This window comes from Homo sapiens, chromosome 12 (assembly GCF_000001405.40).
Source record: "Homo sapiens chromosome 12, GRCh38.p14 Primary Assembly".
Taxonomy (NCBI): domain Eukaryota; kingdom Metazoa; phylum Chordata; class Mammalia; order Primates; family Hominidae; genus Homo; species Homo sapiens.
In genome coordinates, this window is record NC_000012.12 from 34,207,923 (window position 1) to 34,226,573 (window position 18,651).

Below are 18,651 nucleotides of genomic sequence, written 5' to 3' on the forward strand. Positions count from 1 at the left end.
TTGTGAAAGATCTCAGGGTCTACATTTAGTTGGAGTTGCCCAATGGTGAAGTCTAGGAGGCTGGTGGGGCAACGGTGGACGAAAGACGGTGGAGCCGGGAGGCAGAGGAGGCAAGACGCAGAAAAGAGAGCAGGTCTCGCCGCAGCCACGGCTGGTGTTTCATGGGTAGAAGGTCTCCACCCACACCACTAAAGAACGCCTGGACAAATAGGAATGTGACCTCTGCCTGGTCTAGTCCCAAAGCCTGGCCTGCGGACCCTCACATATGAAGGAGACCGCCCACCACCTGGTACCTGGGAGGACTCTGAAATCCTTGGAATACTCAGGAAAGAATGACACCCCTCATCTGTATGTAGTCTCTCGAGGAACCAAGAACTCAGGGATCCTAGACAAGCCAGCCTGAAAAGAAGACACGCCTCTCCATACCAAGCCAGATATTCACTGCGAAAGTGAGGACACCAACCTGACCCCAATCCACCCAAACCCCGGGTCATAAATGCCTCCAGCAGAGCCCGGCATACTTTCTCCATAAAAAGTGGCTCCAGCGACACGGGCTTTTCCAAGTCCTTCAACTCCCGCAGCGGCTCCGTTTCTAGCAAAGGTTGTGCCTTTTGTTGAAACTCTGGGGTCGACAGAAGCTCATCTAACAGGCTAGAGGTGACTGCAGACAAGCACTCCGGCTCCTGGAGCGGTTGGGAGGGCGCCTGGATGGCTTGCATCTGCTTCTGTGACGCGGAGGCTTCCGGAGGCGTGGGCTCTGGAGGTGGAGGTGCCCCAGCTTCAGGTTCCCACGTGGCCCTGGCGACATGGGGCCCCTGGCCCCAGCTCCACCACGGACTCGGGTAGGATGTGTGTGGCGCAAGCACACCTCACCCTTTGGACTCAGCTTGAGCAGGTTTAAGCTGTCCCACTGAGCAAGCACCCAGCAGGCCGCCGTTCTGTGGGTCCTGGTCCTCCTGGCATTTGTTGGGGTGCGAAGGCCACCGAGGAACCTGAGGGTTGGAGGGCGCCGCTTCTGGATGAGCCAGGGCAGCGTAGGCAAAATCCCAGAGTGCCAGGACCAGTTGGGAGATTCCTTCTGCCTGCGCAGCCTGGCTGGGCTGGAGCAGGGCAATGGTCCTTGCTGCCTGGCTCACGAGAGCACCCTGTGGGGGAGCCCCAGGAGCCCAGGACATGCGGGGTGCGGGAAGTGCTGTTGTCCAAGCCCCGGTGGGGGTGAAGGCGACCGACGAGGAAGGAGGGTGACACCCGCCTGGGGCCACGTTGCACAGGCCGCCAGTGTGCGTGGGTGCCCTGCCACCCTGGCCTGGATGCCTGGCCCTGATGCTAAAACCAAATCTGATTCCTGGACTCTGGGAGGCCTGTCTCTCTGGCCAGTTCTTCCTGGGTGGTGATGCCTGGAAAGCAATCTTTCTCAAAGTCTCGGAGGAGCAGGGTGGTCTGGGATCGGGTGACTGCGATCTGCTTTCACCTGCCTTCTTGCGGGCTGCGTTTCCTAGGCCAGGGCCAAGATTCCTGTCGGTGCTGCCTCAGCTGGTGTGATCTCTCATTCTGAAACCAAATCTGGCCCCTGGGCTCCGGAATGCCAATGGCTTGGGCCAGCTGTTCTCTGGTGGCGATGCCTGGGTACAGGTTCCACTAAAAGCACGCTCACAGGGCCTCCCTTTCACTCGGGGTCCAAACGAGTCTCCTTCGCCGTCCTCGTCCTCGGGCTTCCGCAGGGAGACAACTGTCGGAAGGTTTTGGGAGAGACATCGTGGTGAGACCTGGCCAGAATTTCCTGGACAGACACCAGCAGAGAGAGGCCGGCAGGCTCCCGTGCACCTCAGTCGGCCTCTGCACTGCATGCAGGTCCAGCCAAGAGGCCAGCCCTGCCAGCGGCTCTTATAAAGACTCACAGGCTGTTGCTCCCTCTCTCACAATGTGACACACTGGCTCCTCTTTGCCTTCTGTCATGAGTGGAAGCAGCCTGAGGCTTCTGTCCACAGCAGATGCTGGCACCATGCTTCTTGTACAGCCTGTAGAACTGTGAGTCAAATAAACCTCTTTTCTTTATAAGTTTAAAAAAAAAAAGACCCACAGGTTCCACCCCTTCATGAATGCGAGTGAGCTCCAGGGTAGCAGGAGCTTCGGGGTAGCAGCCCTTCCGAAGCTGGAAACCACAGGGACCAGGGCACTGTGGTGTGGGTGGGTGTGGGGCCAGAGCCGAGAAAGAAGTGGGACTTCGGGGGCTGGCTCTCTGGGGTTCTCCAGGAATTCTATGGAAACTGGAAGCCGCTCTCTGGGCTTGCATGTGTCTTCAGGGAGAAACATCCCTGGAAGGGTGGAGTGTGGAACAGAACCTCCACGACAGTCTTGAGTTTTTCAGGTCCTCTCTCTGTGAAGGGGGCAATGCCTGTGGGTGTCGCCGTTGCTGTGATACCCTCACAGATGCAGGTATGTGGATCTTGTTCATTTTCATGTAGAAAACGAGAGCGAAACCACAGAGAAAAGAAACGTCCCCAGCATGACGGCCCCACGAAGGATTCCTGTTTCCTGCAACATGGGGAGTCTCCAATATGGCCGTTTTGGAAACTGGAAAGCAGAGCACCAACACGATGCTGGTCTTCCACGCTTCTCTGGAAGTTTTTGTGTCCTCGCAGAGCTCGGGAAGCAAACAGACAACATGATCACGCTTTCGGGGGCCGGAGAAAGGTGAGCAACCGTCCCCCTTGCAGAGGGCAAAGAAACGTGGAATCCGAAATCACGCTTCAGTCGTCCTGAGTGACTCCTGTGTGGATGGGACTATCCTCCTCGTGCTCCGTTGCAGTACTCAGTGTGGGGATGTGTAGTCTGTAAAACATGTGGGTGAAAAACGGGCTGCTACCTGAGTCTTGGCTCTTTGGTCTTGGAAGAAATCGCCCATTCCTTGGGCGATGGAATTCATACGAATCGCTCCGCGATGAAGTAACCCAGTCTGGCGATCCGGAGAGCCAGTGAGTGCCCCGCCGGCCCAGCCCTTAACTCCCACTGGGCGCTTAACATTTTCCAGGAGCCCGGGGGTCCTGTTGCTCCTGGAGGCAGAAGACTGCTTTTTCTCTCTGCTTTCCTCCCTCTGTCCCTTGCTCCCTCCCTCTCTCTCAGTGTTCCTCCGTCTCCCTGTCTGTCCCTCACTTCCTGTCTCTGTCCCTCCCTACCACCCTAACAACGTCTATCACTCCGTCCCTGCGTGTCTCCATTCCTCTCTCCATCTCTGCCTGTCCTCCCCCGTGGGCGAGACATGCACCCTGGGTGCAAGCCAGGGACTCCACGACCCACCTGGGTCCGGGGCAGAGGCTGCTGGGAAGGCACTGTTCTCCGTGGGAATTTTTTCCCCTGATTGCCTCAACGTCCCCTTTGGAGTCTGGCGTCCTGTTCCCTTCCACTGGGGGACTTCTTGCCGCTTTGGGGTGTCCCCCATGGGCTAGACATGCACCCTGGGTGCAAGCCAGGGACTCCACGACACCCCCGGGCCCAGCGCAGGGGCTGCTGGAAGGCACTGTCCTCCATGGAAGGACCCCAGCCTCGCTGCTTTTATCCGGTGCTGCTCACCCCCCCAGTCTCGGCGCAGAGGCTGCCGGGAAGGCACTGTGGTCCGTGGGAGTACCCCGGCCCACCGCTTTTTCCCCTTGCAGCCTCAACGTCCCCTTTCAAGCCTGGCGTCATGTTTCCTTCCCCCGGAGGCCTTCTTGACGCTTTGGGGTGCCCCCCGTGGGCGTGACACGCACCCTGGGAGGAAGCCAGGGACTGCACGACACTCCCAGGCCCAGCGCAGGCGCTGCCGGGAAGGCACTGTCGTCCGTGGGAGGACTCCGGCCGGCCGCGTTTTGCCCCATGCCGCCTCAAGGTCTTCTTTCAAACCTGGCATCCTGTTCCCTTCTCACAAAGGCCTTCTTGCCGCTTTGGGGTGCCCCGCGTGGGCGCGACACGCACCCTGGGAGGAAGCCAGCGACTCCACGACCCTCTTGGGCCCGGCGGAGATGCTGCCGGGAAGGCACTGTCGTCTGTGGGAGGACTCCGGCCGGCCACGTTTTTCCCCGAGATCTCACCACTGCACTCCAGCCTGGGCAACAGAGGAAGACTGTCTCAAAAAAAAAAAAAAAAAAAAAAAAAAAAAAAAAAAAGTCAATCGCTTCCATCTTTAGATGTCTTTTACACTTTAGAAGGTATATAAGCTCTATAAACCTTTGTAATTTTGAGTCAGTCTGGCGACATTTTTAGGCCTTCTCTCTGTAAGTGATCACAGAAATAAAAACTGCCTCCTTTTTTAGTTCATCTGCATCTCGTTATCAGGCCGCGAGAATAAGCAGCCCGACCTTCAGTTTGGTCCGGGAACAATTACACTCCAGCCCGGGTGACAGAGGGAGACCTTGTCTCAGAAAAGAAACAAGAAAACAATAAAAAAGAAGGAAGATAATTAACCCGGTATTGTGCTGTGTTGTGGTTCACCCCCGTGCCTGTATGCCCAGCTACTCGGGAGGCTGAGGCAGAGGAAGATCGCTTTAAGCCCAGCAATTCAAGGTCGCAGTGAGCTATGATCCTATCACTCCACTCCAGCCTGGGTGACACAGGGAGAACCCCTCTCTAAAAAATACATGAATGAATGAATAAATGAATGTAAAAAAAATGTAAGAAGGTGGTGGAGCCTGGGAAGGCTCCACTCGTTCCTAAAGACTAGAGCAGAAAAACAGGACCATCCGTTTGAGATACAGGCTATTCCGAATAACAGTGAAGGCCCTGAGGATTTCAGAGCAAGGCCCTGCCATTATCTGCAGATAACCATTCTTCTTTGGAGCAATAGGCTCTCTCAGCTAGCCTCTGACTGTTAGTAGAAACCAAATGCCCAACTGTGGGGCCACGAAGTTACCGTGTGAGCTGAGCCGCTCATCACACACTGGATGTTAAGTGGGTGTGCACAGCAACACTCTAGCATGTCATGGAAGTGCTGTGGACCTGATTGGGTCCTAACAGATCGTGAAGCACAAGTAAGTTCCATGAGAAAGTGGCCCAAATGCCCATGGTCCCCAGTCAAGAAATGAGGTGAGTTAAGAAATTACATATAGCTGGGCGCAGTGGCTCATGCCTGTAATCTCAGCACTTTGGGAGGCTGAGACGGGTGGATCACTTGAGGTCAGGAGTTGGAGACCAGCCTGGCAACCATGGCGAAACCCTGTCTCTACTAAAAATACAAAAATTAGCCAGGTGCGGTGGCGTGTGCCAATAGTCTCAGCTATTCAGGAGGCTAAGGCAGGAAAATCGCTTGAACCTGGGAAGTGGAGGTTGCAGTGAGCTGTAAGCGCGCCACTGTGCTCCAGCCTGGTTGACACAGTGACAGTCTGTCTCAAAACATACAAAAATTAAATTAAAATTTAAAAAGTACACATAGATATGACACATAGCCAGGCACAGTGGCTCACGCCTGTAATCTCAGCACCTTGGGAGGCTGAGATGGGTGGATCACTTCGTAGCATCATTACTGCCTCAAAAGGACAGAGGCGTATGTTTATGTCACTGTGGGTTTTTTGATTCTCTTTTTCCTGGAAACTCATTTATTTGTATTATTATTATTTATTTATTTTTTTTTGGATACGGAGTTTTGCTCTTGTTGCCCAGGCTGGAGTGCAATGGTGCAATCTTGGCTCACCGCAACCTCTGTCTCCTGAGTTCGAATAATTCTCCTTCCTTGGTCTCCCGAGTAGCTGGGATTACAGGCAAGTGCCACCACACCCAGCTAACTTGGTATTTTTAGTAGAGACAGGGTTTCTCCATGTTGGTCAGGCTGGTCTCAAACTCCCAACCTCAGGTGATTCACCTGCATTGGCCTCCGTAAGTGCTAGGATTACAGGCTTACAGCCATGAGCCACGGCACCTGGCCTTTTTTTTTTTTTTTTTTTGAGACGGAGTCTCACTCTGTTGTCCAGGCTGGAGTGCAATGTCGCGATCTCAGCTCACTGCAACTTTCACCTCCCGGGTTCAAGCAATTCTCCTGCCTCAGCCTCCCGAGTAGCTGGACTTACAGGTGCATACCACCATGCCTGGCTAATTTTTTGTATTTTTATTAGAGATGAGTTTTCACCATACTGGCCAGGCTGGACTTGAACTCCTGACCTCATGATCCGCCCGCCTCTGCCTCCCAAAGTGCTGGGATTACAGGTGTAAACCATCGTGTCCGGCATATTTATTTTTTGTTTAAGTGATCAAAGAACAACCAGACCCAGTCATCAGGGTGGCAATTCCTCAGGCAACAAGGGAGGGAGGAACTTGGAGGTGTGGGCGGGTGGTGGGCGTGGTGGAGAAGACACAGTTGCCCTGGGCTGTGCGCAGGCACCATGAGCTTCCTTCCCCTTGAGGCCTCAGTTTTCAGAGTAACAGTTGCTGCTAGGTGATGCCCGATGTCTGCCAATGAGAGTGTCATCCCGGAATTAATTGGGATCACCTGGAGGGGGAGTGGGAAGGGGAAGGATAGTGGCCCCCAAATCACAGTGGGTGGCTGCACCCTCCCAGGTGGTCCCCACAACTAATTGACCATGGTCCCTGGAAGACACAGCCTAAGTCCTCACCCATCGGATCATCTGGAAATTCCATCCAGAGACCGACTGGAAATTCTCTCAGTCAAGCTCCAAACCTAAAAGAATCACTGGCACACCCACCAGGACTAAGATAACTTTTTAAAAAATCGTTTCTGTGTTTTGAGTGCATCTGTTTATTTCTGTACAACAAAATTATTTATTTTAAACGTTACGACTTTTTTACTTCTTACATATACAGTCCCGTGATAGACAGACCAGGGGACTCGTCAGCTCAGAGTCCATGAGGCCAGAAGTTGACACCTTCAATTTCTATTCAGAATGAATTTAAACAAGCCAGCCAAACACTCTGCCGTGAAACTCCTGGAAAGACAAGCGATTAAAAAATGAAGAAAAAAACAACACTGTCAGGAGCAGTGGCTCATGCCTGTCATCCTCGCACTTTGGGAGCCCGAGGATGGGTGGATCCCTCGATCCCAGGCAATTGAGACCAGGCTTGGCAACATGGTGAAACTTTGTCTCTACGAAAATACAAAAATTAGCTGATTTCATAATCTGGACTCAAAATTAATAAATAAGTAGATTGAAATTTAAAATTAAAAAAAAAATCTTAAATGCTGTATTCTGTTATTTTTGCTTCCTACCCTGAGAAGGACATAATATAGCTGTTGTCTGTCTGTCCATCTGTTTGTGACAGTGTCTCACTCTGTCTGTCACCCAGGCTGGAGTGCAGTGACACCATCACAGCTCACTGCAGCCTCAACCACCCCAGGGTTAGGTGATTCTCCCACTTCAGCCTCCTGAGTAGCTGAGACCACAGGCAAGCAACTCGGGTTTTGGCCATGTTGTCCAAGGCTGGTCTGAGCTCCTGGGCTCAAGCGATCCTACCACCTCAGCCTCCCTAAGGGTTGGGGTTGCAGGCATGAGCCATCGCACCCGGCCTGACCTAATACATCTGGTCTCACTAGGTCCTGACCACACGCCCTTGAAGAACTCGAGTCAAGAGAGAATTAGCAAGAGATTTTCAGCATTCTCTCCCGAAAGCAGTGAGGTGGATGGCAGCTGAGTGTCGTGCGCTCCAGTGGTTTTAGGTGGCCACACGTAGAGGATAGATTTCAAATGTTTCTGGAGAGGCGTGGGCCACAGTCATTCGGGGCATTCGAGCTCGGGATGGGGTTTCTGACAGCACCTTAATGGCCAGGAAGGGCCAGGATCTGCCAAGGCCCGTGTTCTCGAGTGGGGACAATAGAACCCAAGGTAGAGGGAGCCATCGATCCTCAGTGAGCTCCAGTCCTAGGCCCCACCATGCAGACCAAATCAGAAGGAACAGTCCCTCATCCTACATGCCACATCCCTCCACTGAACTTGGGAGCAGATCTGTTTTCCAAACATGAGGTGACTCTCGGTTTGAAATGAATCACAAGGGGCCCGGCTTTCCTGAGACGGCAGGATAAAGAAGACATTCTGTGGCATAGAATGAGGTGTGCCTCAAATCTAGAATCTCCAGTTAAAACCAATGACGGTGGCCTGGCGCGGTGGCTCACCACTGTCATCCCAGCACTTTGGGAGGCTGAGGCTGGTGGATCACGAAGTCAGGGGTTTGAGATCAGCCTGGCCGCCAACATGGTGAAGCCCTGTCTCTACTAATAAAACAAAAGTTAGCTGGGTAGGGTGGCACGCGCCTGTAATTTCAGCTACTCAGGAGGCTGAGGCAGGAGAATCGCTGGAACCAGAGAGGCGGAGATTGCAGCCAGCCAAGACCATGCCACAGCCTGGGAGACAGAACGAGACACCATTTACCCAGGGGGTAAAAGAACAACAGTTGCCCCACCAGGGTGGAAGTTCCCTAGGCAGTGAGGGAGAGACGGAGGGGCCTCCAGAAGGGAAGGAGAGAGAGCAGTTGCCCCAGGCTCTGTGAAGTTGGCCAGACCTCCCTCAGTGCCACCTCGACTTTCAATAACACTGGCCACTAGGTGATGTCCTATTTATTTTTTAAAAACTTATTTATTTTGAAAGATTGCAATTTAGGCTGGGCGCGGTGACTCACACCTGTTATCCCAGCACTTTGGGAGGCCGGGGGTGGAAGGGGCAGATCCCTGAAGGTCAGGAGTTCAAGACCAGCCTGGGCAACATGGTGAAACACTGTCTTTACTGAAAAAACAAAAGTTAGCTGAGTAGGGTGGCATGTGCCTGTAATCCCAGCTACTCGGGAGGCTGAGGCAGAAGAATCGCTGGAACGAGGGCGGCGGAGATTGCAGCCAGCTGATACCACCCCAAAGCCTGGGCTACAGAACGAGACTCTATTTAAAATAAATTAATTAATAAATAAGTGAATGAATGTATGTGAAAAGAAAAATGCAAGAAAATGGCAGAGCACGGGAAGGCTCCACTCATTCCTAAAGACCAGAGCAGAAAAACAGGACCTTCAACTTGAGACATAGGCCATTTTTAATCTGTTGTCACCATGCTCAATTGGCACCAAAGAAGGGCAGATTTCTGTGCCGCCTGTCTGTCATCACCGCTCTCGTCAAGTATAATTACAGGGTCACGACTACATAGAGATCTCTCAACCCACCAAATGTGTCCGTACTTTTATGAGCCCGGTTGGGAGAATAAACAGGGCATTTAGCAAAGTACTCATCGTATGTTCTTTGGTCTGCCATGTCTCTTGTGAAACCAATCAAATTCATGTTTCTGTTTTTTTTCCAGCCCTCGACTGTCCACAGAATACTGAAATAAAAGAAGAGTGAATACATTTTATGCAACAAGGAGGAAAAACAACAAAGCGAAAGTCTTAGAGGCTTGTGATACATACACAGGGGATACAGAATAAGGAGATTCTTCCAGAATCCACACAAAGACGGACAGACAGAGGGATGGGAGGAAACAAATTGAGAAAAGAGAGAGAGCAGAAAAGATCAAGAGAGACAGAGATGTAAAGGGAAGAAAGATGAAAAAGAAAATAGAAAGGCAGAGAAACAGAAGAAGAGAATGAGAAATGAGAAAAAAGGGAGGAAGAAAAAGAGAGAGAAGAAAAAGAAAAGAAAGAAAAGGAAAGAAAGTGAAAGAAAAAAAGAAAGATGAAGGAAATAAAAAACAAGGCAGCACAACATGGCTTATGCCTATACTCCCAACACTTTGGGAGGCTGAGGTGGAAGAATCGCTTGAGTCCAGCAGTTTGAGACCAGCCCTGGCAACACAGTGAGACCACGTCTCTACTTAAAAAAAAAAAAAAAAATTAAAAAGTTAGCTGGGTGTGATGGCAGGCGCCTGTAGCCCCAGTTCCTTTGGAGCCTGAGGTGGGAGCATCTCTTGGGCTCGGGAGGTGGAGGCTGCGGTGGGCCTTGGTCAGGCAAATGTACTGCAGCCTGTTGCCCAGGCTCGTCTCGAACTCCCGAACTCTAGCGAACTGCCTGCCTCAGCCTCCGAACTTGCACCTGCCATATCCAACGGCCCTGGGGGTATACAGTGACAGATTTTAGTAGACATGGCGTTTTGCCATATTGCCCAGGTTGGTCTCGAACTTGAATCCGGGAATTTGAGGCTACAGTCAGCCATGGTCGTGCCACTGCACTGCAGTCTGGGTGATGGAGCAAGACTCCATCTCTAAATAACTAAATAATAAAAACAATAACAATAATAACAAACAATAATACAAAGAAATACTAACAACAACAATAATAATAAACTAGTAGGAGTGAAAAATATAAAAATATAAAAGATAATTTAGATCACAATTAATAGCAATAATTTCAAGGAGTTATTTCTTTAACCTGTCTCTCTTACTTTCTGAAACAGGGTCTTTCTCTGTCACTCAGGCTTGAGGCCAATGGCGTGATCATGGCTCACTGCAGCTTCGACATCCCAGAATCAAGCAATTCCTGCAGTCTCAGCCACTTGGAAGGTTGAGATAGCAAGATCACCTGAGGGAGCCCAGGAAGGTCGAGGCTGCGGTGAGCCGAGATTACATTCTCATACTCCAACCTTTCTCAAAAAAGAAAAATAAAGGTAAAACAACAGCAGCTTCAGTGTGTAAAAAGAGGAATAAGAAACATAAAAGAAAAAAGAAAAACAAAATGAAGGACAACTGAAAGTACTGTGGAAACAATTGGAGAGGAAGAAACGACGTAGTGAGAGAACGACATCTAGTGGATGCAGGTGGTAGTGCTGCTGACCAGAGAGATCTGTTCTACCTTAGAAATCCCAAGTTAACCATCAAAGCCAGCGCTCGCCGCCGACATTTGGTGGACCCGGCGCTCGCGGACGGAAGCGATCAGACCCAGTTGGAACCTTATCACACCGAGCCTGCCCACCTTTGCGGCCATCTAACTCCGCCGACCTGCCCGCCGTTCCGCCACCGTCGGCTGGTTGACCCGGGCTGCGGAGAGAGGAGGAAAGACAGAAAGGCAGTGACTGGCTCCTGTCCCATTCCCGCGCGCCTGGGGCGGGTAGAGGGGCCGTGACCCCAGTGGCCACCACTGGGCATGCGTGAACACTACTCGGACAGGAACCACAGGGGCACACCCTCTGACACCCACGCCTCAGCCATTCTCACCAGGCCCGATAAATCCGATCCCAGCCCCTGAAGGAGGTCAAAGCGGGGTGCAGGAAGGAGGCGGAATTGGAGAGGGAACGACGAGCATGGGCGACACCCCTACCTCGGCAAACCCCAGCACAGCACCTTGGAAAGCCCGCAGATGGGGACGGGCGCCTCCCGAAGACACAGCGGGCACCAGTGGTCTCTCGGGAGGGACACCTGCTGCGTGCTTCGGGGCTCCGGGTCCGGTGGGCATGAGCGGGCGAGGAAACTAGGTTCCGGGTATAACAGGAGAAAGGAAGGAAGGTAGACGTCAAGGGCTGAATTACACAGGACACGCCACATCACCAGGTCCCCCGCGCACGGGTGCAGGGAACCTTGTGTGGAGGTTTGACTTTCAATAGATCGCAGCGAGGGAGCTGCTCTGCTCCATAGAAAACCCTGACCCAGAAGCAGGATGTCTACAAATAGTTTAGCATCCGGTTCCCCAAAAACACGTTATGTGATGGGTCAGGGGGTGACCGCCCTTCTGGCAGCAGCCCATTTCCTACGATGAGGGGCTCTCTGCACCGGATCCTGGTTCCCGGCGCATGGCGGGACATGCCCCTCCTGAGGCAGAGCGGCCCGCCGGAGGGGACGGCAGAGGACCGCCTATCCAAGGCCAACAAAGCCAAGCACATACACAAAATGTCTGAACCTGCGGTTCCTCTCGTACTGAGCAGGATTACCATGGTAGCAACACATGGGCAACAACACAAGGGGAACGCAAACAGTAAAACTAACCTGTCTGACATGGATCTAACCATAATGCTTTTAGGGCATGCGCACCGCTGTTGGGTGAATCCATTCTAGTCCGCCTTGCCCTTCGCAAAGAAAAGAGAACTCTCCAGACGCGGTGGATCACGCCTGTAATCCCAGCACTTTGGGAGGCTGAGGAGGGAGGATCACCTGAGATCAGGAGTTCAAGATCAGCTTGGCCAACATGGTGAAATCCTGTCTCTACAAAAATACAAAAATTAGCCAGGCATGATGGCGGGTGCCTGTAATCCCAGCTACCCAGGAGGCTGAGGTGGGAGAATCGCTTGAATCCGAGAGGCGGAGGTTGCAGCCAGCCGAGATCGCGCCATTGCACTCCAGCCTGGACAACAAGAGTGAAAGTACCTCTCAAAAAAAAAAAAAAAAGATACAAATAATTATATGGGCTCTGTTGCCCAGGCTGGAGTGCAGTGGCTTGATATCAGCTCTCTGCGGCAGCCTCCATCTCCCGGGTTCAAGTGATTCTCCTGCTTCTGCCCCTCGAGTACCTGGGACTAAAGGCAAGCGTGCCACCAAGCCCAGCTAATTTTTGTATTTTTAGTAGAACTGGGGTTTCACCATGTTGGCCAGGCTGGTCTTGATCTCCTGACCTCAAGGGATCCACCCGCCTTAGCCTCCCAAAGTGCTGGGATTACAGGTGTGAGCCGCCACACCTGCGCTATGTGTTTTTTAAATCTCTCTTTCTAGGGTCATGAGAATTCTCATTAATTTCACTTAGAGCTCCTGGAGAGAAAAGCCTCTATTATTGTCATTGTAACAGTAAAAAAAAGAGAGATTTTTTTCTTTTGAGACAGAGTTTTGCTCTTGTTGCCTAGGCTGGAGTGCAATGGCCCAATCTCAGCTCACTGCAACCTCCACCTCCCAGGTTCAAGTGATTCTCCTGCCTGGGCCTCCCAAGTAGCTGGGATTACAGGCATGTGCCACCATGCCTGGCTAATTTTGTATTTTTACTAGAGACAGGGTTTCACCATGTTGGTCAGGCTGTTCTCGAACTCCTGACCTCAGGTGATCCACCTGCCTTGGCTTCCTAAAGTGCTGGGATCACAGACGTGAGCCAGTGTGTCCAGCCTTTTTTTCTTTTTTTTTTTTTTGAAACAGGGTCTCCTTCTATTGCCCAGGCTGGAACACAGTGGCACAATCATAGCTCACTGCAGCATCAAACTCCTGGAGCTCAAGCAACCCTCCAGGCTCAGCCTCCCAAGTAGCTAGGATTACAGGTGCACACCACTACGCCCAGGAAATTTTTTCTATTTTTACACAAAATGCCTCAACATGGATTTTTTTTCTTTTTTGGCAGAGATGATGTCTCACTATGTTGCCCAGGCTGGTCTCAAACTCCCCACCTCAAACCATCCTTCCACCTTAGCCTCCCAAAGTGCTAGGATTACAGGCGTGAGCCACTGCACCCAGCCCCAATAACTTTTTTTTTTTTTGGCAGTCTCGCTCTGTCAACCAGGCTGCTGGAGTGCAGTGGCGTGATCTCAGCTCACTGCAACCTCTGCCTCCCAGAGTCAAACAATCCTCCCGCCTCAGCCTCCTGAGTAACTAGAATTACAGGCTGATGGCAGCACGCCCTGCTAATTTTTGCATTTTTAGTAGAGACGGGGTTTCACCATGTTGGCCAGGCTGGTCTTGAACTCCTGACCTCAAGTGATCCACCTGCTGTGCATGGCCTCCCAAAGTGCTGGGATTATGGGCGTGAGCCACCCCACGTGGCTCCCAAGAACTCTTTAAATGAACCTAGTGTCACAAGAACAGATAGCTAAACTGTATCTGAAAAGGTGGCTCATACGGGGAAATTTTTGGTGGATTTGGGGAAGCTTAGGGCAAATTTTAAACATGAGGCCTTTTGTCAGATCACCTACATTCCTTGGATTCTACGTGGGTTTGTTGCAGATGCTTAATATGACAAATTACATGACTTCTATCACTTCATTTGATCAGCCTCCCATTGACTTTCAGCCAAGTCCTGCAGAATCGCTTCTCAGATTGTATGTTTCCTCAAGACTAAGATGTTTTCATAGTCTCTCTCTAACTTCCCCTTTTTGTGGCTATTTATTTATATTTATATGTTTTTCAACTCCTTATTTTTTTTTCTCTTTATAAAAGCTTTAACCTGTGCTATTCTTGAGGGAAATACTGATGCATATCTAAACTTTAAGGGTGTTTTTCATCCTGGCTACAGACACTCGGTGAATAATTTTTCAGGTTATGGGAAAACCCATCATTATGAGAATGTAGCAACTTTTATTTTGCAGTAACTGTTAAAATTGTAGCCATGGTGCTCAGTAAAAGGGGACCTTCCCCCTGTAGGTGTTTGGAGAGGAGTTTTTTGTTAGTAACCTGCTTATGGATGGGGCATTATCACCTAGAAAGGAAAGAGGTACCGTGGTATGCAGTTAAAGGGAGCTGGGGCAAGAGCAAGGCAAAGAAATTCCCTCATGTCTTCAATGCAGAGCCAGCATTTAGACTTCTACTCCAGGCAGGGCCCACAAATCTCTGGCAGCCATGAGCACCTGTTTTGCTTCTGCCTTCTTCCTGTTGGCAATTTTGGGTTTGGGGGGTTTTTTTTAGACAGAGTCTCACTCCATCACCGGGCTGGAGTGCAGTGGTGCAATCTCGGCTCACTGCAGCCTCTGCCTCACAGGTTCAAGTCATCCTCTTGTCTCAGCCTCCCAATTAGCTGGGACTACAGGTGCGCACCACCAAGCACAGCTAATTTTTGTATTTTCAGTAGAGATGGGGTTTCGCCATCTGCCCAGGCTGATCTCGAACTCCTGATCTCAAGTGATCCATCCACCTCAGCCTTTCAATGTGCTGGGATTACAGGTGTCATTCACCGTGCCTGGCCTGTTGACAATTTGAGGGGCATGTAAAATATCTGCAGCCCTTTCAGCCAGTAAAACACCGAAGAATGTGTTACGTGGCTTCTCCATTCTCCTTCTTTCTCTGCCCTACTAAATATTAAAGGGTTCTCCTTTTCCCAAGCCCAGTGGAAAAGCTTCAGGAAGCACGGAGGTATCAGAAGCATCCAAAGAGATCACACCAAGTAATTCCAAGTCACTCTCATTCACCCCATTGGAAGTTCCTGCCATCCTGTGTACCCTGGGGGCTCCTAATGCAGGCAGATAATATCCTTGGTGTGCTGTTAGGCTGGAAGACTCCCTCATCTTTGCTCTTCTGTTTGAGAAAAGAAATGGCTGGACACGGTGGCTCACCCCTGTAATCCCAACATTTTGGGAGGCAAAGGCAGGTGGATCACTTGAGGTCAAGAGTTCAAGACCAGCCTGGCCAACATGGTGAAATCCCATCTCTACTAAAAACACAAAGGTTAGCCGGGTGTGGTGGTGGATGACTGTAATCACAGCTACTCAAGGAGCTGAGGCAGAAGAATCGCTCGAACCCAGGAGGCGGAAGTTGCCGTGAGCCGAGATCACACCACTGCACTCCAGCCTAGGCAACAGAGCAAGACTCTGCCTAAAAAAAAAATATATATATATATATATATATATATAAAACATATACATTTATATATATATATATAACATATACATTTATATATATATATATTATATTTATATTTTAATAAATGAATAGAATTCATCACCTAACTTCTAAAGCTACTTCTCTAGATGAAATTCTGGGCACTTAGGAGTCAGCAGTGGTATACTGAGTGCATTGCTCTTGCTCACAGGTGCTTCTTTTCTGTCCCATGGCAGGCGGCACCAACATAAGGCTTCTGCAAAGCTGAGAGCTCCTTTTACCCATGGATCAGGAGCAAAGTTTGCAGCTACACTGTCAGGCTGTGTTTGGATGTTAGCAGTTAGTTTAGCTTTGCGTCTTCAGAGCAATTGTTCTTAGCTACTTAAGAAAAAAAAAAAACCCGATAAAGCATTTGCTGCTCCATAGGATGGGAGCACCCTCTGTTTTCAGGGCATTTGAGGCCCTCTGGCATGTGTTTTTGATGTTTATTATTGTCAGGGCTGTCCCTGTAATTTCCCAGAAATAGAACTCCTGAAAGCTGTTTCCCAGAAAGGACAGCAATAGAGATAATGGATGCCAGAGACAGAGAACACTCTGGTGCCAGATCCTTGGGCTGCTATGTCAGACATTTGCTTATTTATTATTATTATTATTGTTTTTTGAGATGGGGTCTCATTGTGTTGCCTAGGCAGTTCTTCAACTCCCGAGCTCAAGCAATCCTCCCACTTTGGTCTCCTAAAGTGCTGGAATTACAGGCATGAGCCACTGTGTCCAGCTGTTGTTGTTATTATTATTATTATTGTTATTATTATTTTGAGATGGAGTTTTGCTCTTGTTGCCTAGGCTGGAGTGCAATGGCACAACCTCAGCTCACTGCAACCTCCTCCTCCTAGGTTCAAGCAATTCTACTGCCTTAGCATCCCGAGTAGCTGGGATTACAGATGCCTGCCACGATGCCCAGCTAATTTTTGTATTTTTAGTAGAGACGGGGTTTTACCATGTTGGCCAGGCTGGTTTCGAACTTCTGACTTTAGGTGATCCACCCACTTTGGCCTCCTAAAGTGCTGGGATTACAAGCATGAGCCACTGTACCTGGCCTCAGCTGTTATTATTTTTAATTGATGCCTAATACTTGATACCTAATACATATTTAATTGATACCTAATACATATTTACAGGGTACATTTTGATATTTTGATACATGTTTACAATGTATAAGGATCAAATAAGGGTGATTAGTATATCCATCACCTCAAACATTTATTATTTCTTTGTGTTGGGAGGTTCAAAATCTGCTGTTCTAGCTATTTGAAAATATACAATAAATTATTGTTAATTACAGTCACCCTATAGTGCTTTAGAGCACTAGAACTTATTTTCCATATCTAGCTGTACTTTGGTATCCATTAAACAACCGTTAGACTGTGTGCAGCGGCTCATGTCTGTAATCCCAGCACTTTGGGAGGTCGAGGCAGGAGGATCACCTGAGATCAGGAATTCAAGACCAGCCTGGGCAACATGGCAAGATCCTTCTTGGAAAAAAAAAAGAGAGAAATAAAATAAAAGAAAAGGAAAGAAAATAAAATTTAAAATTTTCTTCATTGATTATTCAGGAGCATATTGTTTTATTTCCATGTATTTGTAAAATTTCAAAAGTTCACCTTGTTGTTCACTTCTAGTTTTATTCCATTTTGGTCAGGAAGGATACTCGATATAATTTCAATTATTTTAAATTTGTTGAGACTTCTTTTGTGGCCTAACATATGGTCTATTCTGGAGAATGTTTCTTGTGCTGAAGAAAGAAGGTGTTTTCTGCATCTGTTGGATGAAATGTTCTGTAAATGTCTCTTTGTTAGTCTAAAATGCAGTTGGTTTTTTGTTTTTTTGAGATAGAGTCTCACTCTGTTGCCCAGGCTGGAGTGCAGTAGCATGATCTTGACTCACTGCAACCTCCACCTCCCAGGTTTAAGCAATTCTCATGCCTCAGCCTCCCAAGTAGCTGGGATTACAGATGCCTGCCACCACACTCAGCTAATTTTTGTATTTTTAGTAGAAACAGGGTTTTACCATGTTGGCCAGGCTGGTCTCAAACTCCTGGCCTCAAGGGATCTGCCTGCCTCAGCCTCCCAAGGTACTGGGACTACAAGTGTGTGCCACTGCATCCAGCCTAAAGTGCAGTATAAATCTCGTGTTTTGTTGTTGATTTTCTATCTAGACAATCTCTTCAGTGCTGAGAATGGGGTGTTGAATTCCCCAGCTATTGTATTGGAGTCTATGTCTCCCTTTAGATCTAATAATATTTGGTTTATATTATATATCTCGGTGGTCCAGTGTTGGGTGCATAGATATTTAGAATTGTTACGTACTCTTGCTGAATTGATACCTTTATCATTATATAACCACCTTTGTCTCTTTTTAATCATTTCTGACTTAAAGTCTGTTTCATCTGATACGAGTATAGCTACCCTGCTTGCTTTTGGTTTCTGTTTGCATGGAATATCTTTTTCCACTCTTTCAGACTATGTGTGTCTTTACAGATCAAGTGAGTTTCTTGTAGGCAACCTATAGTTGGGCCATGTTTTTTAATCCATTCAACCAGTCTATATATTTTAAAGGGGGAAATTTAATCAGTTTACATTCAAGATTATTATCGATAGGTGAGGACTTGTCATGTTGTTAATTTTTTAAAAATATATCCTTTGTTCCTTTCTTCCCCTCTTATTGTTCATCCTTGTAATTTGGTGGTTTTCTATAGTGATAAAGTTTGATTCTTTTCTCTTTCTCCTTTGTGTATGTGCTCTACCAGTGAGTTTTATACTTTTTTGTGTTTTCATGAGAGTAATTATCATTTCACTTCCAGATGTGGGACTCCCTTTAGCATTTCTTGTAAGGCTGGTCTAGTGGTGATGAATTCTATCAGTCTTTGCTTGTCTGAGACATGTCAGGCATTTAGCTTCAGGACCTGATTCTAGTTCCCTGCCCTGTAGAAACAGTAGAAACAGATCCCTGGTACCCTGCTTAGGTACTAAGCCAGCTAGATGTGAGCAGATGAGAAAATCAAATCCTTCTATTTTGCCAGGGATTAATTCATTCCCAGGATTGTAAATATTACATTTCACTTTTCATGTCACAGAACTGTGAGATTAGAAGGTGAGATGGGCAGCCTGCCCAGCAAGACATTATGATGTATACAACACAGTGAACTACTAAGAAGGTGTCTTTAAAGGCATTTACAATGCATAGCTTTTTTTTCTCCTTTTAATTTTGCTG

General features: G+C 48.9%; 1 long non-coding RNA gene and 1 pseudogene across 1 annotated transcript in view, besides 4 other annotated features; both read right to left on the reverse strand.

The window, feature by feature from the left end:
• LINC02963 (long intergenic non-protein coding RNA 2963) overlaps positions 1-11,289 on the reverse strand; it is a 28,175-nt gene extending 16,886 nt beyond the window's left edge. The window contains exons 1-3 of the long non-coding RNA NR_185896.1: positions 11,204-11,289; positions 10,859-10,923; positions 3,952-4,099 (exon numbers count right to left, since the gene is read on the reverse strand). This is a non-coding gene — a long non-coding RNA (long intergenic non-protein coding RNA 2963). The remainder of the gene's footprint in view (positions 1-3,951; positions 4,100-10,858; positions 10,924-11,203) is intronic.
• Positions 501-1,879, reverse strand: DUX4L27 (double homeobox 4 like 27 (pseudogene); annotated as a pseudogene).
• Positions 7,834-8,003: an enhancer, noted in NCBI's record as "experimental_28337 CRE fragment used in MPRA reporter constructs". NCBI's record gives its function as "activates a minimal promoter by MPRAs in K562 erythroleukemia cells, with activity observed for both the introgressed and non-introgressed 12:34368776 variant alleles {active_cell/tissue: K562}" and the evidence as "EXISTENCE:reporter gene assay evidence [ECO:0000049][PMID:34662402]".
• Positions 10,465-10,965: an enhancer, noted in NCBI's record as "H3K4me1 hESC enhancer chr12:34371322-34371822 (GRCh37/hg19 assembly coordinates)". NCBI's record gives its function as "activates a minimal SCP1, AML or CMV promoter by ChIP-STARR-seq in primed H9 embryonic stem cells {active_cell/tissue: H9 hESC(primed)}" and the evidence as "EXISTENCE:reporter gene assay evidence [ECO:0000049][PMID:30033119]".
• Positions 10,743-10,892: an enhancer, noted in NCBI's record as "active region_6194". NCBI's record gives its function as "activates an Ori minimal core promoter by ATAC-STARR-seq in GM12878 lymphoblastoid cells {active_cell/tissue: GM12878}" and the evidence as "EXISTENCE:reporter gene assay evidence [ECO:0000049][PMID:35858748]".
• Positions 10,966-11,466: an enhancer, noted in NCBI's record as "H3K4me1 hESC enhancer chr12:34371823-34372323 (GRCh37/hg19 assembly coordinates)". NCBI's record gives its function as "activates a minimal SCP1, AML or CMV promoter by ChIP-STARR-seq in primed H9 embryonic stem cells {active_cell/tissue: H9 hESC(primed)}" and the evidence as "EXISTENCE:reporter gene assay evidence [ECO:0000049][PMID:30033119]".